Here is a 27,364-nt window from a genome sequence, read left to right as displayed (position 1 = left end):
GGTGAGGCTGGGTCATGAAGAGCCTTGTTTGCCATGCTGGGAACTTGGCCTTTATCTTATATACAATGAGAAGCCACTAAAAGGTTTTAACAAGGAGAATAAAAAGGTCAAATTTATGTTTCAGCTACCTAGACTGCTCTAGCAGCAATGTGGACAATGGACTGGAGAGGGACAAGACTGATGACAAGTTCAAATGGTACTGCAGTGGCATAGAGGACTTGGCAATTTGTCAGACAGGAAGGAGACATCTAGACTAACTTCCAGGTCTATGGCTTCAGTAACTGAGAGGAGGTAATTTAGAGAAGAGATGAGCTCAGGTTGGAGCATGCCAGCACTGAATGCCTATCCACTACACCAGCAGATGTCTCCAATAGGCTGTTATGTCCAGGTCTAGTGCTCAGGAGAGGGAGATGGCCTGGAAACAGGACTTGGGGTATGGATAAGATCAATGAGAAAGAGTCCACAAAATGTGATAAAAGGCTGAAGGAGGAAGCCTGGAAAATAGCAACAGTTAAGTGGCTAGCAGAAGGAGAAAGATCCATGAGAAGTCAAGAATGAAGACAAAATTAAAGAGGCAATCGTAAAGCTAGGAGAGAGGTGTGCTGGAAGTCAAAAGAACATCAAGTTTCAAGAAGGAAAGGATCAATAATGTTAAGTGCTCTATTACTTGCACCAACCAATAAATAAGGTAGCCACTTGCCACATGTGGCTAATTACATTTAAATGAATTAAAATTAAGCAGAATTAAAACTTTGGTTCCTCAGTCACATCAGCCACATTTCATATACTCAGCAGTCACATGTGCCTGGTGGCCACCATATTGGACAGTGCAGAGATAGAGTATTCCCATCACCACAGAAAATTCCACTGGGAACACACTTCTCTATAGGGGTACAGTAAAGGCAAGCACTTCCACTGGGTTTGGCAACATGCCGATCACTAGTTAGTAATCTTTGCAATAGCCGTTTCAGGAAAGTAGCAATGCAAGAGCTGGATGAGGAAAGATGAAGAGTTCTCTATGTGTACAAGGTAAGGAAGGAAATTCCAGGAAAAGGGAACAGGATAGGCAACAATCACAGATAAATCATTAGCTCAATTCCTATGTTCTCAATCTCTTCTCTGAATGTTCCCTTCACCCTTTTGTTGTTACCCAACCTACCTCTCCTTGCCTGCTTCATCTGTGGCCCTCTAAAGTAGTGACTGATTTTTCTCCTTTGGCCCATGTAGGTAGAGTGAATAACTTCTTTCTTTTCATTGTAGTCCTAGACGAGTGGCCCTCCCTTCTCACTAAAATCCTACCACTACCATACTGTACCACCCGCTATCCTTCCCTTTCACAGTCATCTACAGACATATGGGTCATGGCCCTCATTCCTTTAGTACCTGGCTCACTACCACTCATCAGATTTCTTGTTAATTTCAACATGCATCTAGATGAACCTTCCAGCATCCTGGTCTGTCAGTTCCTCGGCCTCTTGTTCTCAATGACCCTGCTCTCTACCACATCTCAGCCACTCATTATCATGGTCGTGCCTGAGACCTTATAATTATGTATATCTGTAGCCCCTCCCTAATCTCCAAGTCAAGCATTCCCACTTCAACCACCACTTCTACCTTTCCAGCTCACTCCCGATAACCATGACCCCAATACTTCTTTGACCCCACTGGAATCTGTGATCCATTGGTCCTACCATCTTTTTACTGTCCCTCATGGCTCCCTTTTCTGTCCTTAAATTCCATGGCCCATGATTCTAATTATCCCTTGCATACGCCTTTGACTCCATTGTTCTTCTCATTATGGAATGATACTCAGCTGGAAAAAAAACCCAGCCCTGGTTGAATCCAAAGCTCCTCCTCTGCCTTGCTTGTCCCTCACAGCTGAATGTACTAGAGAAAAACAACAGCGCTGACTGTTCTCACTTCAAATTCGTGATCACAAACCTCAAGTGCATCTTTCATGTTGCCAGGCAATCATACTGTATTTCCCCAGTCCATTCACTCTGTCACGCTCCTAGGCCACAAATTAATATTTTCTCTCTTCTCGAATCTTTAATACTTCTATCCCATTTTCACTCTCAGATATTAACCTTGCTTCCCACTTCACAGAGGAAAAAAAGAATCAGACAAAAACTTCCATAAGCTTCCACAATCACATTTACCCATCTATCTGCATCAGTGCCCAGTATGGTCTTCCTTCACTCCCCTGCTCCCTGTCACCACAGATGAACTGCCCTGTGTCCTAGCCAAGGCCAGCATTTCCACTTGCATCCAGATTCCATCCCCTCTCCCCTACTCAACAGCATCACTCCAGTCACTGTTTCGTCATCTTATGTCAACAATTTCTTCCTCTCTACTGGATTAAGTCCATTAGTGTATAAACGGAAAGTACTTTAATAGCTCCCGTTCTAAAACCAACAAGTCAACACTTGACCTCACTTCCCCATCTGGCCACTACCTCACTCCTCTGCTCCCCTTTATAGCTAAATTCCTTGAAATAATTGTCTATGCCAGTGCTGTCCAATGTGGTAGTTACTAGTCACATGCAGCTGGTGGGCACTTGAAATGTGGTTAGTTTGAACTTGAGATGTGCTGTTATTATAAAATGTGCACTGGATTTCAAAGGAAATCCAGGAAAATATCCTGGTAATAATTTTTATATTGATTATATTGGAATGATAAAATACTGGATATACTGGGTTAAGTAAGATCTATTATTAAAATTAATGTCACCTGTTTCTCTTACCTGCTTTTAATGCGACTACTGGAACATTTGAAATTACATATGTGCCTCACATGTTTTTATTGGACAGCACTGGTATACTCCCTACCTAGAATTCCTCTCTCTTACTGTTCTCTCTTAAACTCACTCTTATCAGGCTTCCCTCCCTCCATCAAAACAGCTCCCATTAAGGTCACAAATGACTTTTTCATTGCTAAATCCAATGGCCAATTCTCAGGCCTCATCCTATGTGCCCTGAGGACAAAACAGGGTGAGGCTAGAGGCTGGGAAACCAGTTAGGTGGCTGTTGCAATAAACGAAGTCAGGGATGATCTGACCTGAACTAAAGTTGGAGTAGTGGAAATAAATTTGAGAAATGATCAGAAGGTCAAATTAATAGGATGTGGTCACTGATTGGATGGGGGCAGGGATAGGAATATAGACCAATGATTGGCTTTAGATTTTTGGCCTGGATAACAAATAGGTGATGGTATCACTGAAAAGGATGGGGAACATCAGAGAAGGTACAGGTTTGGGGATAGGGAAGAGAATGACAAGTTTGGTTCCTGACAACAATGTATTCCCATCTTTGGTACTCTTTAAATGAGATACCTCCATTTTTAGCCTTTGTAAGCTGTGGCTGCCTAAAAGATATCTCAGCATGGCACAACCCCAAGATGATCGTGAATATTTGATTCCCCATTCTTAGCCACTGAGTGTAGGCTCAAGTCAGGTTTCCCCTCATCCAGGCATTTGACCAAAAAAACCTATCCTCTATTCTGTTTACTGTACTTGGAAGTGGAGGATGTCCTGGGTTAAGTGTTCACAGGGAAGGTCCATCTTGTCAACCTCCCATCCTAAGAGGCTGGAGAGTCTACCCAGGCCATGCTTCACCCTGGAAGAGCCTAGTTGGGGCTGACTGGCCACCCAGCCTGTGGCTAAGGCAATTTAAAGACCCACCTTCATCCATGAGGATCAGAGAGGCAGCCCCCTGACAGTAGTACACAGGATGAGGGCCCTGAATTGGCAAAGAATCCAACAGGTGGACCTGACCTAGCAGAATATGCACTGAAGTCCAAGGACCCAGGTCCCAGCTTCTACTCTTACCTACTCTTACCAAGCTGCTGTGTGACCTTAGCTGTGTCTCTGCTGAGCTTTACGCAAGGGGGAGCCAACTCTTGGATCATCTGAGGCAACAAGGTTTCAACTCGTTCTGTATCAGAATCCGCTACAGCAGTGGCTTTCAAACTTGAGTGTGGGTCAAAATCAGAATCTCTAGGAGGGCTTCTTAAAATCCAGCTTGCTGGGCCCTACTTCAGAGTTTCTGATTAGAGTTTCTAGTAGATCTAGGGTGAGGCCTGGAATCTGGAATCTGAGAATTTTTATTAATAACAGGTTCCCTGGTTAGGCAGATACTACTATTCCAGGGACCACACTTTGAAAACAACTGTCCTAGGGAAGTTGTGGAAAATGCAGCTTCCTGGGCCCTGCCCCATAGAGTTGAATCCAGGAAGTCTGAGTGGGCCCTGGAATCTCCACTGTAGTAACAAGCGCTTCAGGATGATCCTGATGCTTGGGTCCTCCAACCATATAGGAGAAACACTGACTTAGAGGGAATCCTGGAGCTGGAAGATGAACCAAGAGACCTGGGAAAAGCTGCCAGTGAAGGGGACAGAGTCTGGCCAGGTGTGAGGAGCAGTGTCTCCTGGAAGGTGAGAAAATTAAGGCAGAAAACACTTGACTTAACCATTTGCTCCCACAAAGGACTCCTGAGCACCAATCACTTCTTCCTCAGCAGGGACAATCCAGTGGTCTTCAGAAACTCACCTACCCACCTGTTGCACAAGGCTCAGCCCTTCGCCAATCAGTCAAATCCCTCAGGTCCCCCCTCATCCACTAACCCTTTAGGAGCCTCAGGATTTACCAGAGTTCCTATACTTTCACCTGCCCTTACCTGACCAGTATAGTGGAGCAGGGAAGCCTCATGGAAGAGGGGAACTTCTCTAACATCCTAACACTAGCTAGATGGGAGGGGCAATGGGCTCAATGGTATGGAGGAGAAACAGGAAACTCAGCCTGGATACTGATGTCAGCATGACCTTGGGGCCAGTTTTTGAGCTGCCATTGGCCAAAGTACTTCCGCTTTAACTGGTCCCAGAAAGTAACTAGCACAGGAGGTCCAATCCTCATCCTCCAGAAGATGAGCTGAAAGCCCACTCAAGAGAGAGGTGGCCTGCCTAGAACAAACAACACTGAGGTTCTTAACCCCAGTTTCTTGAAATGTCCTCCAAAAACATCTGAATTGCCTGTATTTCAAAACAGCCTTCTCAGGCAGGCACGGTGGCTCACGCCTGTAATCCCAGCACTTCGGGATTCAAGGCCAGCCTTGGCAACACAGTGAAACCCCACCTCTCCTAAAATTACAACAATTAGCTGGGCATGGTGACGCATGCCTGTAATCCTAGCTATTCAGGAGGCTGAGGCATGAGAATCCCTTGAACCCAGGAGGTGGAGGTTGCAGTGAGCCAAGATCACACCACTACATTCCAGCCTGGGTGACGGAGCAAGACTCTGTCTCAAAACAAAAAAACAAAACAAAACAAAAAAACAACCTTATTACTGGGTGTCAAGCCTGAGGGTCACTGCTCAGCAATTCTGAAACAAGAGCTCCCTCTAGTGAAATAGAAAGGGATTTCCCAGCAGACTTGAAGCAGGCCCTCCACCCCACCCCCTGCACCCCAGCAGCCTGGGGAGACCAAAGGACTCCTTCTCAGAACAGTGTTTGAAATGCATAAAATAAAAGCCAAAGGAATTCAATTATATTAAAACACAGTTACCAAAATATTTTTAAAATTTTGTAATATACTAATTATGTTTCTTTATAAATACATTTAATCACAAGATCTAGCAGCAGGCCTAATAACTACCATCACTTTCAAAGCAGATGAGCATAAACACTATCCTGAGATGGCCGCTACTACTGAAATGTGATAGGAAGCCATCTGTGATTGCTACTGACAACAAAGACACAGGTAGGGCTAATACCACTGGTGCTTGTTGTCTGCGTTCATGTGCTACATTTCTGCTAGAGGTCAGTGAAAATAAAGATGTGACTTCCCCCCATTCAAGTGAATGAACCCCTTAAGATCCTATTTGTGAACCCCAGGTTAAGAACTGCTGCCGAAATGAAAACAAACACAACCAACCAATCGAAACACATCACAAGGATGAAGAGAGGGGAACTCCTGAGTTGTGTCACCAGCTGTAGGCAGGACCAAGCTGTGGGCCTAAAGCTGTGTGGGCACTTTCCTCCAACCACCTTGTGGCTGACTTCCTCCCAACCCATCCCACTAGAACCTCTGGAAGCCCACCACCACCACTGGCCTGGGGTGTTTATGATCAACCAATCTGTCTATACCTGCCACCTTTCCCCAGAATGTCCCTTTCACCTCCTCACCCTAAGGAACCCTGGCTGTCCACTGAGGGTGTGATTTCTTCCACTAACAGCTCTGAGAAGGCTGTTCTTTTTTAATCCTTCTATTCCTGCAGCAATTTTTTGTGGGGGAAGGGAAGTTGAAGATTCCTCTAGCCCTCCATTATTGCTTCTAGACGTTTACTCTTCCCTCGTTCTCTTTCAAGATTCAGTTCCTCCTCTTTGTCACTGTCACCTGTTGTTGGCCTCCAGGTCATTGAATTCACCTCAGATCAGTGTCACTTAGCTTACCACCTTCTTTTATACCTTTTCCTGATGGCATTCTGGGTGATTTTAACATCCATGCAGGCACCTCTTCCAATACCCTAACCTCGTGGCCTCCTGAACCTCCTCAACTCTACAGGTCTACTCCACCGCACTAACCACAACCTGCCTTCTGTCATCACTTTGAACTGCCCCGCCTCTGCTGGGATCATCTGACCACAACCTCCCGACAGTTCAGCTTTCATATCCTTATTCCTACTATGCGCATGCCCCTAGACCTCCTCGTGACCTGTGATCCCTTGATGCTCCTTACCTCCCTCCATAGAATTCCTCCTTGTTCCCCAGCTCTCTTCTAGCCTTTCTTCCACACCAGCTTGGACCCCATGGCCTCGAACTCTGACACCAGCACTCTCAACTCCCTGGTGGGAAGCAGAACTCTTCATCCCCCTCTCCCCACACTTCTATCTATCCCCTCACTAGATCATCCCCAAAGGGTGGCTTACTAAAGGTGAGAACCTAAAAAACTGCTCAAACCACATTTTATTAGATTAGTAGGCAGGGCCACAGTATATTGGCAAGCTGAAACCATACTAATAATAGCAAACAACTTATATACCACCATTACATGACAGGGACTGTTATAAGCACTTTATATATTAATACATTAAGTCATTTAATGCTAATTACAACCACATGAGGAAGTACTGTTATTATTTTTATTTTACAGATGAGAAAACTGAAGCTTGGAGAAGGTAAGGGAACTTGGCCAAAGTCACACAGCTAGTAAGGAGGAGAACCAGTATTTGAAACCAGGTAGTCTAGCTTTGTAATGGGCAGCATGTGTATTTCGTCGTGCACATCTCAGCAGAACCTGTCTCTCTGCATAGCCAGGCCTCTTCACTTTCCTCTCTAGCTTCTCAATGCCTTTGATAGGGTGGAAAGTATGGGGGGGCCTGTGCTACACATCTAGCCACATTATATTCTCTAGGTACAGAGTGGGAAGCTCACCTAGATGTTGAGAACAAAGCTGCAAGCTCTCGCCCAGCACTAAAGATACTGGATGCCTGCTCAGCTAATAATAAAGTGCTGCTCTGTCTCCCATTCTGCTATTGCTCCTTGGGTGACCTGTCCTTGGTCAGAAACCTGAAAGCAATACAGTGCGTTGCAGGATTACCAAAACTCTCCAGAACCCCTCAAACATCCCTCACTTTCTAGATTTTCAACAATACTGACCCTACTTACAAAGCCTCAACATTGGACGGATCCCTCCAGCCAGATGTCCTGCACCTCCACTTAGGCTGCTGAACCCCAAATGGGGTAACCGTACAAACCAGTGCCAGAAAAATCCACGGATTCTTCTTTCAGGAGGGCCCCACAGTGCCAGTCACCAACCTTCTAGAGCTATGTTGTCCAATAGCCACTAACCACATATGGCCATTTAAATTTCAATTCAGGTCAGGCAAAGTTGCTCTCACCTGTAATCCCAGCACTTTGGGAGGCTGAAGTGGGTGGATCATTTGAGGTCAGGAGTTTGAGACCAGCCTGGCCAACATGGTGAAACCCCATCTCTACTAAAAATATAAAAATTAGCCAAGCATGGTGGCATGTGCCTGTAGATCCAGCTACTCAGGAGGCTAAGGCAGGAGAATCGCTTAAACCCGGGAGGTCGAGGTTGCAGTGAGCCAAGATCTCGCCATTGCACTCCAGCCTGGACGGCAGGATGAGACTCCATCTCATCAATCAATCAATCAATCAATCAACCAACCAATCAATTTCAATTCAAATTAATTAACCTTAAAATCGAATGAGAAATCCAACTCTTCAGTCCCCCCAGGCACATTTCAACTGTTCAAAAGCCAAATGTAGCTAGTGGCTACCATGTGGAATAGAACAGATATAGGATATATTCATCATCACAGAGAATTCTATTGGACAGTGTTGAGAGAGTCTAGGCTTATCTCCTTCTTCCATTTCCCACAGCACTTATTTCTCTTGTCATTACCCTTCTCAATCCACCACCAAACCCCTGTCATTCTCAGCAGTTGTCATCAACTTGTAATTCATCCACTCCCCTTTCTCTCTGGTACCTTCAATGTTCCCTGGCTCTACTGGGCTTCAGTTTAGCATTTGAACATGCTCAGCCCTGGGGCAGAGAGAAAGGGAAAAGGAGGTGAAAAGGAGAGAAAGGGAGGGGGAGAAAGGAGGAGGAGAAACACCCTCCCTTGGCTCTGTAACACCCTTAACCCCTCCTTCCTTAATGCCCTTAACTTCTTCCCTGTAATTCCCACTTCTCTGAGGACCTGATTTTACTGTACCTCTTAGATCCAACATGGCTTGGCTAATACCACTTTGGGAAAAATTTCTACTGCCTTAGTTTTCAGGACAACCAGCCTCTCCTTCTATCACTGATCTTTCCTGCAATCTCCTTACACTCTTCTTCTTCTGTCTACTGTTTGCAAGTTGATGTTCCCCAAGGCTTTCTCTAAGTCCTATTTTATCCCTACCTACATAGTTACCCTGGACCAGCTCATTCATTCCAATGTTTTCATCTACTAGTTCTATAACCACTGATACTAAAGTCAGTGTCTAGTCCAGATTCCCCTGAACAGCTCCAGAATATTTTATCCTAATGCTTCCTGGGCATCTCAACCTAGATAGCCTATAAGCACCTCAAACTCAAGTAAAATCATCTTCCTCGCTGCTATGGTCTGAATGTTTATGTTCCTCTCCTCAGATTCATGTTGAAACCTAATGGTCAATGTGATGGTATTAAGCGGTGGAGCCTTTAGGAGCTGATTAGGTCATGAGGGTGGATCCCTCATGAATGAGATTAGTGCCCTTATAAAAGATGCCCAAGGAAGCCTGCTTGCCCCTTCCACGTGTGAGAACACAGTGAGAAGACCCCATCTAGGAGGAACAGGCCCTTACCAGACACTGAATCTTCTGGTACCTTGATCTGGACTTCCCAGCCTCCAGAACTGCGAGAAATACATTTATATTGTTTATAAGCTACTCAGTTGATAGCATTTTTGTTGTAGCAGGCCAAAAAGACTAAGACACTCTCTAAAACATGCTCCTTCCTTCTGCGCCCTCTTCTCAGTTAATGATACTCTATCCCACCCAGTCACTCAGGCCAAAATTCAGGGGCCTCACGGATTTTACCCGCATCCTTATTCCCATAGCACCTCAATTACAACAATTATTAATCAACATCTTTAATAAATAAAATAAATCAATATCCAATATTAATTATCTTAATCTCCCGAAAAGATGTGACTACTGCCACCTAGTGGCAAAATACAGACAACTAGAAATGGTGGTTACTGCATATTATAATAAAGTATAATAAAAGTACAAGGAGAAAGGCACATTAAGGAATACATGCCCTTGGCTGCCTAGGAAAGTCAGAGACACCTCCAGAGAGGAGGTAGTACCCTTGAGCTAACTTGCAAAGGAACACACGAAGTTTGCCAGGTTTCAAGTAGAATAGATAGTATGAGCCTGGACACAAAGCAAGGAAGGCTGGGCAAACCTGTCAGCAGATAAGTTTATTCAGAAAGTAAAGTAATGAGCTGGGCACAGTGGTATGTACCTGCAGTCTCAGCTGCTTGGGAAGCAGAGGCAGGAGGATCACTTGAGCCCAGGAGATCCAGGCTGCAGTGAGCTATGATTGCATTACTGCCCTCCAGCCTGGACAACATAGTAAGACCCCATCTCTAAAAAAACAAAACAAATAAAAACCAGAAGGTAAAGTGATAGAATCGGAGTCTAAGCAATGAGAAATGAGGCCAAAGAGATGGACAAGAATCAGACTGTGAATGGTCTTGAATGCTATGCAAAGAAGTTTGGTCTTCATCCTGGATGGGATTTTTAAGCAGCTGAGCAAAATCAGATCAGATTTCCTCTTTCCTTAAAATGGTCACTCTGGAGACTGTATAGAGGATAGCCTGGGTAGGAGGTAGGGGAAATCAGGGGGCAGGGAGAGGAGAGAGGAAGCAAAGTAGTCCTGGTAACAGAGGCTGAGAGCCCACAGTCGGACAGGGGTGGTGAGGATGAGGAGGAAGGGCCAAATTTGCAAACAATTTTGAGAATTTAAACTGTCAGAACTTCTGAACTGATTGGTAAATGGGAAGACGCAGAGGAAGAGATCTAGGATGTTGCCTACATTTTTTGCTTTGGTAGTGGATGGAGAGTAGAGCCACTAACCAAGACAGGAAACAGAGGAGGAAGACAAGCAGGATGAGAGAAGGGGTACAGAAATGAGGAGTCTAATTGTTATTTTTGAAGTACCTGTACTGCTTCTCAAGCCTGTGTTATCTCTATTGATGAAGAACACCAGGATCTATGGGGCAGGCAGAGCAAAAGAGCCCAAGGAGAAAGAACCAGAGAAGTAGGAGAACCAGGAGAAAGAGGTACCCTGGAGCTCAAAGGAGAAACAAGTGTCTCAAAGGAGGGAGGACCAGTAATGTTACATCCACTGACAAGCATGCTCTCAGTTCATGCAAGGTTCTGCGGCTTTAGAACACAGCAAGGCACAATCCTGACCTCTAGAGACGGCAGTCTAGTTGGAAGAAAGATGAATAATTAACACAAGGCAGAACAGTGGGTAATTAATAATTATACAAACCCAATACATAGTATTTACTATGTGCCAGTCATTGTTCTGTATACTCTTCATGTATCAGCTCAGTGAATCCTCATAACACCCTATGAGGTAGGTACTATTACTACCCTCATTTTGCAAGTGAGAAAACAGACACAGAGAGGTCAAGGTACTCGACCAAATGCCAGAACTAACTAGCAAGTGGGATAACTAGGATTTGTACCTACAGTCTGTCTGAATCCAGCGACTCCATGGACAGGCAGCATAGAGGCATCTCTGCCCACCTGGTTTCAAACACCAGTTTAAACTCTAGTGCAGGCCAGGCACAGTGGCTCATGCCTATAATCCCAGCACTTTGGGAGGCAGAGGCAGGCGGATCACTTGAGGCCAGGAGTTCCAGACCACCCTGGCCAACATGGTGAAACCCTATCTCTACAAAAAATGCAAAAACTAGCCGGGCGTGGCAGCATGTGACTGTACTTCTAGCTATTCTGGAGGCTGAGGTGCGAGAATTGATTGAACCCGAGAAGCAGAGGTTGCAGTGAGCCAAGATCAGGTCACTGCACTCCAGCCAGGGTGACACAGTGAGTATCTGTCTCAAAAAAATAAAAATAAAATAAACTCTAGTAAAGGGACTCCTAACCTTGGTGGTACTATGCACTCCTTGGGCAGTCTGGGGAAGTGTAAAGGCTCTCTCTCAGAATAAAGTATTTAAGTATACGAAATAGAATATATAGGATTATAAAAGAAAATAATCATGTTGAACTATAGTTATCAAAATGCTTTTAAAAGGCACATCTGTTTTTAAATTTTGAGGTAATGATGAATGCCAATGATTTTTTGAGATATCTGCAACAACTCTAACATAAGAGGAAAATAAGTGTAATTTACATTAACAACAGCATGCCAAGTGCTGCTAATGTAACTGTGGTTTGTTATCTACATTCCTTACTAAAGGATATACCACAAAGTCGGCCCTCCATATCTGCAAGTTCCGCATCTGTGGATTTGACCAACCACAGATCAAAAATATTTTTTAAAAATGAAAATAACAATAGTAAAAAAAAATACAAATAAAAAACAGTATAACAACTATGTATATAGCATTTACATTGTATTAGGTATTATGAGTAATCTAGAGATGATTTAAAGCAGGGATGTCCAATTTTTTGGCTTCCCTGGGCCACATGGGAAGGAGAATTGTCTTGGGCCACGCATAAAATACACTACTGATAGCTGATGAGCTGAAAAAAAATTTTTTTCAAATATAATGTTTTAAGAAAGTTTACAAATTTGTGTTGGGCCACATTCAAATCCATCCTAGGCCACAGGTTAGACAAGCTTCCTTTAAAGTATACAGGAGGATGTGTGTAGGTTAGATGCAAATACTACGTCATTTACATTAGGGACTTGAGCATCCTTGGATTTTGGTATTTGTGGTGGGGGAAGTCCTAGAACCAATTCCCCATGGATACCGAGAGATGACTGTATTTCAGTTGCAGTTAATGGACATAAAGATGTGATTATTTTTCTCATTCAAGGTCATGGGCCTCACGTGATGTACTCCCATAAGTCTAGTGGACACTGTGGGAATTAAATGAGATCAAGATCACACATGTAACAAACCCAGTGCCTAGTAAACATTAGCTTGTAAGATGTATAATAAATTATGTGCAATTTGCAGTACAGGAATACATCCCTGAATAGAAGGTCATTCATTCATTCATTCATCACCTACATACCAAGAAGAAATGAAAAATTCCTGTCCTCAGGGAGACCAGCATGTAAAGACTATACTGTGAGGATGACAAAAATGGGAGGAACAGAGGCAGCTGGCGGGAGCTGGGGTAGAATAGTTACAGAGGGCTTCTTGGAGAAAGTAACTACTGACATGAGTTTTGACAAATGAATGTTTCTAGGCCCACAGCTGGAGAAGAGCATTCCTGGCAGAAATCACAGCATTTTCAAAGGCACAGAGGCATGAAAATTGGATAAAATACTCAGGGAACCCCAAGGATTTGGGTATCACCACAGTGTACAGTATAAAGAAGGGAGTGTAAAGACATGAGGTTGGAGAAGGGGTTGGGTATCAGGTCATACGGTCTTGTGCACTGGGGAAGATGGGGGGCCACTGAAAGCTTCCAAATGACAAAGAGCTATGATCCTATTTGAGCTATAGAAGTAGCTCCAGGAATGGGCTTAGGGGGAGCAAAGGAGGCTGGCTGGAGAGAGATCACACAGAGCCAATTATCATCATTGAGGGAAGAGATGTGCAAGGCTTGGCCCAAGGTACTGGTCCTAGAGATGGTAAGGAGAGGATGAGTCTGAGAGATATTTAGGAGGTAAGAGCAGGAGGACCCAGTGATTTCTCCACACAGCAGCCAATATGATCTTCTCCACAAGCAGATTGGATCATGTTGGACTATTTAATAAACAGTGTGGGGACAAATGGGAAGCCAGCTGGAAATAAAGTTGGATCTTTATCTTGCACTGTATATCAGGATATATTCCAAGTGAATAAAAGACTTAAATGTAAAAAATAATAATAAAAGGAACTATAAACATACCAGAAGAAAATATGGGATATATATTTTTTATAACCTTGGAGTAGTAAAGGGCTTTCTAACCATGACTCTAAATTCAGATGCCATAAAAGATAAATTACATAGAAAGGTAAAAATTCAGCTGGGCAGGGTGACTCATGCCTGTAATCCCAGCACTTTGGGAGGCCGAAGTGGGCAGATCACGAGGTCAAGAGATCAAGACCATCCTGGCCAACATGGTGAAACCCCGTCTCTACTAAAAATACAAAAATTAGCCGGGCGTGGTGGCACGTGCCTATAGTCCCAGCTACTTGGGAGGCTGAGGCAGGAGAATCGCTTGAACCCGGGAGGCGGAGGCTGCAGTGAGCTGAGATCACGCCACTGCACTCCAGCCTGGCAACAGAGTGAGACTACGTCTCAGACAAAAAAAAAAAAAAGAAAAGAAAAGAAAAAAAAAAGAAGAAGAAAAAGAAATTTTAAAATCCTGCATGGCAAGAATAAAACATTAGCAAAGTCAAAAGAAAACACAACTGAGGACAATATCTGTAGCTCATATCATAAAGGGTAAACTGTTAATATTTATATGTAACAAGCTCTTAGGATTCAAATTTTGTAAAAAGGCCAACACAATTGAACAATGAGCATGTGATAGGAGCATGTAGTTCAAGGAAGAGGAAATCAAATGCCAATTTTATTTTATTTTATTTTGTTGAGACTGAGTCTCACTCTGTTGCACAGGCTGGAGTGCAGTGGCACAATCTCGGCTCACTGCAACCTCCACCTCCTGGGTTCAAGCGATTCTCATGCCTCAGCTTCCCGAGTACCTGGGAATACGGGCATGCGCACCACCACACTTGGCTAATTTTTGTATTTTTAGTAGAGAGGGGGTTTCGCCATGTTGGCCAGGCTGGTCTCGAACTCATGACCTCAGGTGATCCACCCACCTCGGTCTCCCAAAGTGCTGGGATTACAGGCTTGAGCCACCATGCCCAGCCAAATGCCAATTTTAAATATGTAAAAAGACACTTGGCTTCACTCAAAGTGAAATTAAAATTAAAATCGAACTGATATACCTTTTTTTTTTAACCCATCAGATGGGCAAAAATCCAATTTGGTGAGGTTGTGTAGAAACAGACACTCTCATACATTGCTAGTAAACATTTAAACTGGTACAACTTTCATGGATTTGGAAATATCCAACAAAAATACAAATGCATATACTGTGATTCAGCATTACCACTTCTGGGAATATATCCTATAGATATTCTTGCACACACGCAAAATGGCAAAGGTACCAGTTCCTTCAGTGCAGTGTTATTTACATTATCAAAAGATTTGAAACAACCTAAATGTCCATCAATAGCAGACTGAAAAAAATAAATTATGATATAGTGTTGTAACTTTGTGTTATGATTAAAAGCAAGAACCGTGGAACCATACTACTGGCTTCAAATCCGGGGACTGTCACTTGCTATTTGAGTACCAGTTTCCTCTTCCATAAAAGGGAGATAATAATAACACCTTCCTAACAGAGTTGTTATAGGATTAAATGAGTTAATGCATGGGAAAAGTGTGTGACAATATCTGGCATATAGTTGTCTTATGTCAAAGCTCTGCCATTTTTATTATACTGTATTCTATCATCCACACAATGTAATATTATGCCACTATAAAAAAAAAAGAAAGAAAGGGGGAGCTTCTTGTGGGCTCACATGGAAAGCTCTCCAAGAAATATTGCTAAGCAAAACAGTAACAACAGGATGGTTGTGTATTTGCTATTTTAGGATGAATGTCTGAAGAAGGGGGAAAATATTTTTAAAATTTACTTGTATATGCAAAAAAACAAACTCTGGGAGGATATACAAAAACCAAAAATAGTAGTTACTCGTGGAGTTGTAGCAGGGAACTATATGGATGGAGGGAAGGGACGGGAAATATATTTTTCACAGTATGGCTTTTTATATTTTAGATTTTTGAATTAAAATGTGTAAAATGTGCAAATAAGTTAAATCAGAGAAGAATCAATTGGTGAAGCAAGCTGATGTTATATCCCTTCTTCACATTTTCACAGGCTTCCCATAGCTTTGGCAATCAAGGCCAAACCCCTGACCATGGGTGACAAAGCCTTCATATATGACGCCAGCCTGCCCCTCAGGCCCAGTGTCATCCACTCCCCTTGTGCTCCCCATTGCCACAGTGCTGTTGTACATGCCATTTTGCCCATCTACAAGAAGTCACCTCCCCTAATCCTGTACTTGCCTAATAAGCTCCAACTCACCCTTTGGATTTCTATTTAAATGTCATTTCCTCAGGGAACTCTCCTCCAAACCCCCAAACTCAGTCAGCTTGTTTTGTTCTAAGTTCTCATAAGAGCATGTTCCTTTCTTTCAGAGTACTTATCTCAGTCATAACTATAAATTCATGTGATATTTGATTCATATCCATCTCCCCACTCCACCCCCACTAGCTTATAAATGTTATGAAGGACAGGGTGGTGTCTGATTTTTGCTTATCAGGGCACCCCAGTGGTCAGTCTGGATCCTGGCAGGAAGAAGGCATATGTTAATATATGTGAGATGAACGGATGCATTGCATACAGGAGGCAGGGATGATTCCCAGTTTTTAGCTGGGGTGATTGGATGCTGCTACTTGGCACGAACCACAAGAAGAGCAGGAGGGCTGACAGGGAAGATAATGAGTTTGACACAGACAGGTTGGGTTTGACATATGCTTGAGACATTTAGGTAGAGAAGTTGAGTAAACTATATGAATGTGACTCTCGTAAGTCTGAGCTGTAGACAGTGATGTAGCAGCCATAACTAGACAGACTAGTAGTTAAACCGTGAAAGCAGGCAAAACCATACCAGACAATTAGAATGAGATGTGAGCCTAGAACAGAACTCAACATCTCAGAGGAGTGAGAAAAAATAACCTGTGAAGGAGACTTGAGAAGACATGATTGGTGAGGTAGGAAAGCCAGGAAAGGGAGGAACTTTGGAAGCCCCGAAGCAGAGCAATCCAAAACGGAGTGATCAATACCATCCAATGCAACAGCATTCCGTAGGATAAAGACTGAGAGATGGTCATTAGATTTGGTCAGACAGACGTTGCTGGTGATCTTTAGAAGCACCATTTCTGTGAAAAGTCTGGTAGAGGGTTAGATATCAGAGTAAATGGTCTGAGGAATAAAGGGTAATTGAGAAGAAAACTCAAGGGCAGACCCCAGTGTCTCCCAAAGTTATGCACCATGTATGAGGTGATTTCAGGTGGCAAACAGATAAACATTTCATTTTTAATAGTTTTGTATATAAACTGTGTTAAAATAGATAACCAGTAAATCAAAGCCACAATCTCATGGATATTATGGGGCTTCTCTTGAAAGCGTATATATTTTAGTTAAAAAAAAAAAACTCAATAGATTTAAGGACATGTATTACATACATAATAACACACATGGTTACGTGGATAAGACAAAAATTGTCTTGCCCAAAGAACTAAATTTTAGAAAATGTTGTTTAGATTATTCTTTTAGGATGCTTAGGTGTGAAGGGAAGAGGGAAGACAGAGTTGTATGGGATTGCGAGAAAGTTTCTTAGAATGGGAAAGATTTGAACATCTGTATTGGCTGAAAAGCCAGCAGTGAAGAGAGGGTTGAAAATTCAGCTAATGGCCAGGTACAGTGGCTCATGCCTGTAATCCCAACACTTTGGGAGGCTGAAGTGGGAAGATCACTTGAGCCCAAGAGTTCAAGACCAGCCTGAGCAACATGGCAAAACCCTGTCTCTACACAATACAAAAAAAAAAAAAAAAAAAAAAAATGAGCCGGGTGTGGTAGTATGTGCCTGTAGTCCCAGCTACTTAGGAGGCTGAGGTGGGAGGACCATGTAAGCCAGGAGGTTGAGGCTGCAATGAGTCGTGATTGCACCACTGTACTCCAGCCTGGGTGATACAGTGAGACCCTGTCTAAAAAAAGAAAAAAAAAGAAAGAAAAAGAATATCCAGGTACATAAGTGATTAATTGATAGAATGAGGCTCCAGAGGTGGTAGCAGGGGTGGGAGCTAATCGCACAGGGATATTATTGGCCAGAACAGAATGAACACCATTTCTTCCAGGATGAGAAGGAGGAAGATAGGGATGGATGTGGGTAAAGAAGCTTGTAGAGGTAGAGAGAAGTGTTGAGGAAATTTCCATCCCAAAACCTCAATTTTCTCAGTCATTTGTGGGGAGAGGGGGGATCTATTGAGGGTGGAGAGAACAGAAGGTTTGAACAGAGTAGACAGGAAATTTGAGGAGGGTGGTAAAGATTTAGCACAGGACTTGTGAGGGCAATGTGTGGAGGAGCTGGCCATAGACAGAAAATAAATTGAGCAATGGTGTTGAGAGCACAATTATAATAGACATCATGAAATTTTCATGGCCCTAATCAGAATGGCTTGAAAGAGCTCCTCCAGTAGGCCAAGACTGGGCACACTGAAAAGGCATGGGACACTGATCCCAGTTGGAAGGGACAAGGGAGGTGAGACACTTTCAGGAGCTAGTGAAAGTTTCAATGATAGGTCATGGAGATACAAGCTGAATAGGAAGAAGAGGAAAGGAGTGGAGATTTGGGTCAAAGAAAGAACATAACAGGAGTTACGTTCTCACATAGAGGAGCTTTACGGGAAAACAAGGTCCTGGTGGCTGAAAAGAAGGGAATGCTGAGGTCACTGCAATTAAGAAGCCCAAACCTTGAGAAGCTGGGGTGGATGGGTGGTCCTTACAAGAAGTCTCTCAGGATGTTGGCTCAAATTATAATGGAAATATTGAGAGCTACAGGCCAGTGACTTCTAGGAATATAGGGGAAGGGACCAAGAGGTCAAGTGATGGTGGTGATGAAAAAAAAAGAGAGAGAATAGTAAAAGAGAAAGCCTTTTTCCCCTAACGTACAGATGAGATAGTGCTCTAGAAGAGACAGAGGGGGCTCTGCAGCATATGGGGCAGGGCAGAAAGAGCAGCCTCCATTAGAGGAAGCTGTAGGCAAGAGACAGGAAGGCTCTGTGCCCCATGCAGAGCTGCCGGTGGGGTTGGGAGTGGTTTGTAAGAAATATAGTTTGTTAATTAGCTTGATTCAATCATTCTGCATTGTATACATATAGCGTAGCATCACCTTGTACCCTACACATATATAAAAGCATAATTTGTCAGTATCTAATAAAAATTAAATTTAAAAATACTGTAACACAGAAAAAAAAGAAATAGAGTTCCAGAGGGCCACAGGCAACAAGTTTGAAGGAAAGGAAACAGGGAAATGAAGGGACAGGCCAGAGGAAGAAAAGAGCAGTGTGGATGAGAGAGGTCCCATGTACTGTGACAGTGCATAAGGTCTGCAACAATAAGGGATGAGTGGGTTTCCCACAAGGCGCCACCTACCCACCCACCCCAAACCATAGGAAGAGGCACTATATGCTCAAGCAGGACCTTGCCTTTCAGGAAAACAGGGTTCCTGGGCATGGGAGATACCTATAGGAGAGCTGTCTTGTACTGGGTAAAAATTGCTAAGCCATTTATTTCTACAAAATTACAAGCGACTTCTAGGGAACAGAAGCCCCAGACTCTCGGCTTTCTTGGTTTACAGAAAACTAATCTTCTGACAGCTTGCTTCAGATCCATTCTCCCTCTGCAAGGCCTAGGTCCAAGGCTTGGGATCAAAGGTGAAGAAATCCAGATGTTTCTCTCAATGCTCATAATTCCCCCCAAGTGAACAGCAGATGGCAGTAAAGAGCTGGAAAGGGAGATGGGAGATGAGCCCTCAAAATAGCTCAAAGTTGGCCAGATAGAAGGTACTGGGGCCCATCAACTTCTGCGGGGTGGTAGATGCTCTCATTGAGGTCCTGGAGTAAAAAGTCAGTTTGGTGAGATCACTCCACTGGTGCTGCAAGCTAAACCCTCACTGCACCAGGGTATCTATTGGTTATTAGCAATAACAGAGCATACTGTCTCTCATTACAGCCCTACTATCTCTCACCTCGCCACTTAGGGAACTGGGCTATCGGGAGGATCTGCTCTAAGGAGATACAATTATCTTAGAGTTAGCCAAGTCTTGAGGATGTGGCTTCCTGGATTATTCTTTTGGAGGGAGGAAAGATGGCTACTTGGTATTTTCCATGTCAGACCAGTCTAACCCAGCTACCTGACAGATTTTTATGGTGACCTTAGAGTACAAATATGTTTAAATAACAGCCATGCAGATTTGGCTAGGACTTCCATCACACACCTCAGAAGCCAGGAACGATGAGTAGCAGGGTTCTGAGGCCCAGGAACACCTATCTGCCTGGTTCTATTCAGAATGTGTGTATTTCTGAGACTTAATATTAAGAGGCTGTTTCCTGTGCCACAGGGGACAGACCTGAGAAATGGCACAAGTCTCCTGGATATTGGAACTTCAGACTTTCCTTAAAGCCTCGTGAGGAAAATAGTGCTTTTACAGCAAATTAAAAGGAAGTGTTTTGGGACATCGTGAGACCCCAAGTGGCCGCACAGGGTAAAAGCAGTCTCAAAGAATATTTAGGCAAGTATGGAGAACTGATAGAAATCAAGGCATAGGAGGCAAATCTCTGGACTATAAGTAGACTCCATCCTGTAATATGTTCCTGGGTTGACCAGTCCTTGGGGCTATCTCACACCAGATCTTAAGATCTGCCGGAATGCCTGATTTAGAGCATCCACGCATAAGCCAAGAAGCAGCAGTGCCCAGCAGAACTCCCAGACTATCTTCCAGTGAGCTCAAGGGCCCATGTGGCCTCATGCCACTTTCAGTATGGTAGAAATGAAACCCTTGCTGCCTGGAGTGAGGTAGGAGCAGAAAAGTCTCAGCAACTGAGATAGAGAGGCTGGGGCTAAAACTAAAAGAGGATGACTTCCAGTCACAGGGCCTTTCAGAAAGTAAAGAACACTGAGAAGGAGTGGCTCTCACAACAAGCCTAGATGGATAGGCACCCCTTTCCTTTTGTCTGTTACACAATAGAGGGAAGGGATAATCTAAGGGTCACTGAGAGGTTACAAATAGATCAGCTTCCTTTCCAGGCTGCCTCTACCAGGTTGGTGGTCTCTCCCTCTTCACCAAATGAAGGTTTTCAGTGGTTTATTTTACATGGGTGACCACCACTCTTTCACCTGCCTCTCCCCTCAATCCCATAATTGCCCTGGTCCCCGGACTTCTTGCCCCTTACAATATCTTCTTTTGTTCTTGAGGGGACCGAGTGCTTTACTCTCTCCTTCTATCCCACACTGCACATTGAGGCAGGGGGAAGGCACAAGTACAAGAAGGTGACAGTGTGGGGGGCTCCATGCAAACACAATGCCACCATCAAGAACCCAAAGCCCAGGCCCTGTGACAGACAGTCAGCAGCACCATAGTCACCCAGTGAAGGGTGGGTCTAAAAAGTCCCCAGACCCCTTGCAGGCCTCGTCCATTCCCATCTCCCCACTTCCTGGTGCCCGGCATAAATTATGTTGAAGAAACTCAGTCAAGCGGCAGCTGAAGATCCTGGGAAGCACCCAAGAGGCTGTGACTCCCAAAAACAGAAGGGAGAGGTTAGGTGTGGGGGTTACATAGGAATGTGGTTTGCTGGCCTTACCTCCTTTCCAAAGCAGGTAGATGGGTACCACGTAGAGCATAACATGCTGAATGTAGTAAATCTCCAATTCAAAGGGGAGCTGTGAGGATAGGAGGGAGAGAAGTGTTTTAGAGCAGGAAGCATTCATTTCAACAGAGTCCAAAGTTGACCTCCCCTGCTGTTCAGGACCCATATTTCAGCAATCCCATGCATTTCACCAATTCACTTCTCTTTACAATTGCAGGAAAAAAAAAAGAACAAAATGAATATTCTTCTGATCTAGATCAGGATCTTCCTAGATGTCTTTTGTAGAGAAGGTACTTGTAAATGCTCCACTAAGAAAGTTTGGTTAAAAATTTAGGAGATGTAGTATATAATATATCCCCTTGGTGGTTTCCCATGTGTATTATTGGAATATGAAGGACCTGAGTGGCCCCTACAGACAAAAAACATGCCATTGTTTATCCAGTGTTCCCCAAACTTATTTAGCAAGTGATTCTTTTTTTAGTAACAGTTTGTATTCTGCAAAATACTTTAAGAATCACAACCTTATGTCACTTCCTGCTCCTGGAGACTAGACGGTAGACTATTTACAAGTTTATTTCTCATTTGACATGAAGAATATATGGAGTAGAATTATCCCCATATTCCAGATGAGAAAAAAAAATGATTGCTAGGTCTCATAGGGTCTAGATCCAAGAATAAACTTTCCCCATTGGATATTTGGGTGTCAGCCCAGCATTAGCCCTACTTTTGAGTTTAGACCAAGCTTCTGGGCCAATTTTGGCACAGCTTACCAAAAAGAATGTCCTCACTTTCCCTACATCCAACACACCCACTCACTCGCTCCTGTTTCCCATCTCTCTCAAAATGGAATCTCTGTATTCTCAAAGCAGAGCATGTTTTGACCTGCCACAGCAGCCCTGCTGTAGAGCTTCGCAGCGGGCAGAGAATGGAAACAGTTGGGTGGCTAACTCAATTCTGGGGAAAAAAGAACTTTGGCAGCTGACAAGAGGCCTAGCCTCTTGGGCTTACAGAATCTCTAACATACACACACACGTGTACACACACACACACACACACACACACACACCCCAAAGTATGCCAGGACAGACAAAGGCACCCAGGGGAAAGGGTCAGCTGCCTCCCTGTTCCCCACAGGGCAAGCACATAACCAAGACTGTCTGCTAATGAGAGGAGGCAGTTACAGGCTCCCCAGCCACAGGAGCCCAGGTCTGTCTTATGCCAAGGGCTGAAACCAAGAAGATGGCAGAGCTCCCAGAATGGGAGCTGGGACAACTGTGGAGGCTGGACACAGACGTTGGCTCTGGCTCTTAAAAATAAAAATCCACACGGAAAATAATTTCCCAGGGACCCACATGCTGCTCAACTATTACTTTACACTCACCAAGGGAAATGTAAAAACTGAGAAAAGGAGGTAAGAGTCCAAGTATCACTGTAGACCCCAGCTGGAAAAGGTCATGAAATTGGACACTGGGCATTATCAGCACAAGGTAGCTATGGAGAGGCCTGAGAGATCTACACTGGACCCTCACAGTAATGTGGTCTGAGATCACTCTAGTATCTTAAATTTAGGTACTGCTTTATGCTTTTCAAATGATTTCACATCCACAATCTACTCAATGTCTCAAAATACCCAGGAAGCAGACAGGTAAAGTATTATCCTCAATTGACAGATGAGGAAACTGAGGTGCAAAAGGGTTATTAACTTCACTGAGGTCACCTGGAAAATAGGGAAGGAAGGAAAAAGTCCCAAGAAGGCTTAGCTCTCTGGCTGAAATCAGCACCTTCATGCACCTAAGGGACTTGACCTGTCCCTGAAATGGGCCTGGGAAGCCAGGCTGCTCTCCCCAACCAAGGAGCCGGGCCAAGGGCATGCAGCCACTAGTCCCAGGTGTGTCCTCAAGCAGTACTTCTCCCAACCTCTCAGACTCCAACTGCTGACCACCCACCTTGACTCACATTGCCCACCTGCCTCACCCTGCCTCCCAGCTCTCCTAGAAAGCAAAGTCTCCACCTGAATGTCCAGGGAGGCAGTTAAGCATTGCAGTTACAAGCTAGGACTTTGGAGTATGTCAAAGCTGTGTTCTAGATTTGACTCTGCTGCTCGGTAGCTCTGTGGCCTTGGCCAAGGCCCTTAACCTCTCCACCTCCGTTTTGGCATCGGTAAAATGAAAGTAAGTCTTCTAAGATTGTTGTATGATTTTTAAAATTTTTAAAATATAACAAAAACTCACATCGTACTTCTTTTATGCCATGAACTATGAAAATCACTTTGTAAACTGTTAATTTAAACAAATCCTCATAAGAACTGTATTGTTCCAATTATATCCATTTTAGAGATGGGACACTGAGGCACAGAAAAGTTAGATAACTTACTCAAGGATACATTCTCATTCGGTGACAGAGCCAGGATTCAAATCCAAGCAGTTTGGCTCTAGAATTTATAGTCTTAGCCAGCACACTCAGCTATCCTTTGCTCACTCGCTCCCTCCCACAGAAGGCCGACTGACAGGAGATGCCCCGTGGGGAGGAGCCACCCTTATGAATGGGAGTAGTCATAGTGGTATCAGCAACAGGACCAGGGGCAGGACATGCACATGTCCTCACTCGTCCCTCCACATGGTGATTTAGCCCAGTCCCTTCCTGTTCAAATGATCCTCATCTTCATAGCATGCTCTGCCTACTGTCTGGTGCCCCAGCCACACATCACACAGTAGCCAAACTTGCCCTGCAACATAGGCCTCCCAGCTCCTGAGCCTCTTGTCACTGGCCCTTTGCATCTCTGCAGCCACCATGGCTACACTACAGACTTCAGATGGAATGGCCAAGAGACTGTCCCCACCAGCAGTTTCCTTCCTCTGATGGCTGCCTCACCCCTACTCTAAGACTTCTCTACTTCAGGGGGCCACAAAGAGTACTGAACTAGGTGCATATGCCACTGCAACCAAAGCCAGGGGAGGGAAAGAGGAAATAGGTTAAGGAGGAAGTGTGGAAAAAGAAGGAGAGAAAGGGAAGAAGATGTAAGAGAAAGGGGGTGAAGTAAGAAGAAACATAATGGCAAGAATAAGAGAGTTGAATGGGAGCCAAGAACTTACCACTTGTCATTTAATAGCAAATCATATTTAAGTACTTATATTATGTACCATGTACTGTGTTAAATATTTCTATACGTTGATATGTTTTGGCTGTGACCCCACCCAAATCTTATCTTGAATTGTACCTCCCATAATTCCCACGTGCTGTGGGAGGGACCCAGTGGGAGATAACTGAATCATGGGGGCATTTTCCTCCATACTGTTCTGGTGGTAGTGAATAAGTCTCATGAGATCTGATGGTTTTATAAGGGGTTTCCCCTTTCACTTGGCTCTCATTCTCTCTTGCCTGCCACCATGTAAGACGTGCTTTTCACCTTCTGCCATGATTGTGAGGCCTCCCCAGCTACATGGAACTGTGAGTCCATTAAACCTCTTTTTCTTTATAAGTTACCCAGTCTTGTGTATGTCTTTATCAGCAGCATGAAAACGGACTAATACACATAGTGTTATCTCATTTAATTATTACAACTTTCCTATGAAGTAGGGACTATGATCATGCGCATCTGACATACAGGAAACTAAGGCACAGAGAAATTAAATAACATCCAAAGAAACAGCAATAGGCACAGGGACAGGGGGAAAGGGCAATCAATAATGGAGGAAAAAGTTTTTGTTTTTGTTTTTAAAGAAATAGGGTCTCATTATGTCACCCAGGCTGCAGTACAGTGGCTATTCTCATGCACAATCATGGCATGCTACAGCCCTGAGCTCCTGGGCTCAAGCAATCCTCCTGCCTTAACCTCCCAAGTAGCTGGGACTATAGGCATGCACCATGATGCCCAGCTAAGACAGTTCTTTACTGAGCACCGAGTCTGGGCTGAGTTCTGGGAACTTTCTCAGCGAGCCTCCCCTGACCCTCTTTTCCCCATTTTACAAGTAATATCTGTGAAATGCCATACTTCCCTAGAAAGAGTTCCACTTGGTTAATTCATTTCTACACACTAGAGAACTCATACCTGGAATTCCACTCTAATATACATAGCCTGGTTCTTTTTCAGCTGGAGGAATCCTGAGGTTATAGACAAAAAGTCCTGCATCAATGCAATTTAAAGTCAAAAGTAATAAAAATGCTTTAAGCAACACAGGTCATTAACTACCTTCTCACAAGTCAACATCCTTTTTAGAATCAAAAGACCAGAGTGGTAAAGTTCTCTAGGGCTCTAGAGTTTAGACTGTCTGAAACAGTAGGTGCGTGGACTCTGTTCGTGGAAAGAATCTCAACCTCCTTCCTCCCACTCTACAACCCTGACAGCTACACCACTGTCCTCTGCCATGGAGACCACTGATCCCACCACGCCCCTACTTCCCTGTTTACATCAGTCACCTGAGCAGTCCCTTCACCTTTTTTCTTTAAGAAAAACTTAGTTCTTCCTCTCTGAAGACACTGCTATCCTGACAGCTCTCTCAAGTAGTGGGGGTTTTTCTTCTCATATAACCTTACACAACTGGGCCAAGGGAGTGCCTCTCTGTGCCTCACAGATGTTTCTAAATTGCTGTCTCTTCCAGACCATTCTCTCTGCCTCCTTGCTAACCACTCTGCTGATTTGAATCTCATGTCCTGAGACTATGGCACCCACTACTCCTTTCTGTTGCAGTCATTTACGGATTTACGGCCCCCTCCATGTATACCCTCCCTTCTTCAGTCCTTGAAGGTTTTGCCTTTCCCCTCCCTGTGATGCCTTTCCAACATTCCTTTGTCAAAATCTCTGCGGTATCAATATTTAGCAACACCCTGGCCTCTCAATGCCTTGCCCTCCATGCTCCTCAAGGTCTCCTCTCCATTTTACCTCACACCTTTTTCACATGGTCACACCAGTTACTGTTAATGGCTGTGATCTCTCCATAACCTCTGTCATGCACCCTACTATCCAGCCACCACCTTGTGTCTGGCCAATTCACTCCCTCTAATATCCCTACTCTCACAATTTTCCCACTTCACCAGGACCTACAGTCTTGATCCTACCACCTTTTTACTGCCCCCTCACCAACCTCATGTCCTCACTTCTATGCTCACCAGCATTGAGTTCAAGGCCCATCACTTCCTTCAGTACATTCCCAACTCTCCTGACACACTCTCTCTTTTTGTCCTACTTACCTTGCAATACCACATTCCTGGCTAAATCCAACTGTCTGACTTCACATCCCTAAACCCATGCAAGCAAACATGTCTGGAGAAAAATATAAAGCCATGCTATTAACCCTTTACATTCATGACAACAAACTTAGTGCCAGACTTTCATGCTGCTCTACAATCTCACTATATTCCCAAGACCATTTACTCTCCTCTCTCCCAGGCCACTATTTCACAACTTCTCCTGCTTTCCTCAGACCTTCCCCATCCTCGCTCTCAGCTGAGGAAATGGTTTCCTATTTCAGTGAGGTGAGGGGGCATGGAGAGCCATTAGAAGATAACATGCATAAGCTCCCACCTCCATACCTCCCTCCTCCCTGCACCCATCCCCACAGCTGCTTTTTCCTCTGCTACTATGCAGGAAGCACCTGTGCTGCTGGCTAAGGCTAGTACCATCACTCCTGTACTAGATCCTATCCTTTCTCACCTACTCAAGAATGTCATACCAGCAATTGTCTGTTTTTCTCACTGGATCATTGCTATCAGAAAACAAACATGCTAAAATACCTTTCATCTAAAGAAACAAAAGCTCTTGACCTCACTTCCATTTGTGGTAGTAATGGAGCTTCCACCTCTATTTCTCTGCTTTCCTTTATACTTTACAGCAAAACTCCTCCAGAGATGTCTCTACTCATCGCCATCACTGCCTTTCCTCTGAAGTATTCTTCCATCCAATTCAATCACATTTTCATTCCTACCATTTCACTCAAATTGCTTTTGTTGAGGTTACCAATGACCTCCATGTTTCTAATTCCAGTAGGCAACACAAGGATGGAAGTTAGCCCACATGGCGTCTTTATGTGAAATAGGCTCTCCTTCTTCTGCCAAGGCTCAACCCCATGCCAGGGTGTCAGAGAGATTCTAGATACCACTCACTCCATTATGCAATTAACAACCTGCACAACTAGAAATACTAGTCCTGGTCTATTTTCAGGTCTCATCTTACTTGGTCCATC

The 27,364-nt window shown here is 44.1% G+C and overlaps 1 protein-coding gene across 20 annotated transcripts in view, besides 1 other annotated feature; it reads right to left on the bottom strand.

Moving 5' to 3' along the window:
• Positions 1–27,364, bottom strand: part of TMEM164 (transmembrane protein 164) — a 181,883-nt gene that overhangs the window by 18,196 nt on the left and 136,323 nt on the right. For all 20 annotated transcript variants that reach the window (XM_047442570.1, NM_001353849.2, XM_047442566.1 and 17 more), the window contains one exon: positions 21,180–21,258. In XM_047442570.1, the coding sequence (XP_047298526.1) occupies positions 21,180–21,258 (79 nt within the window). The remainder of the gene's footprint in view (positions 1–21,179; positions 21,259–27,364) is intronic.
• Positions 4,928–5,461: an enhancer, noted in NCBI's record as "H3K27ac hESC enhancer chrX:109403823-109404356 (GRCh37/hg19 assembly coordinates)". NCBI's record gives its function as "activates a minimal SCP1, AML or CMV promoter by ChIP-STARR-seq in primed H9 embryonic stem cells {active_cell/tissue: H9 hESC(primed)}" and the evidence as "EXISTENCE:reporter gene assay evidence [ECO:0000049][PMID:30033119]".

The sequence above is a fragment of the Homo sapiens genome, chromosome X (assembly GCF_000001405.40).
Source record: "Homo sapiens chromosome X, GRCh38.p14 Primary Assembly".
Classification (NCBI taxonomy): domain Eukaryota; kingdom Metazoa; phylum Chordata; class Mammalia; order Primates; family Hominidae; genus Homo; species Homo sapiens.
This window is presented reverse-complemented; position numbering and strand designations above follow the sequence as displayed.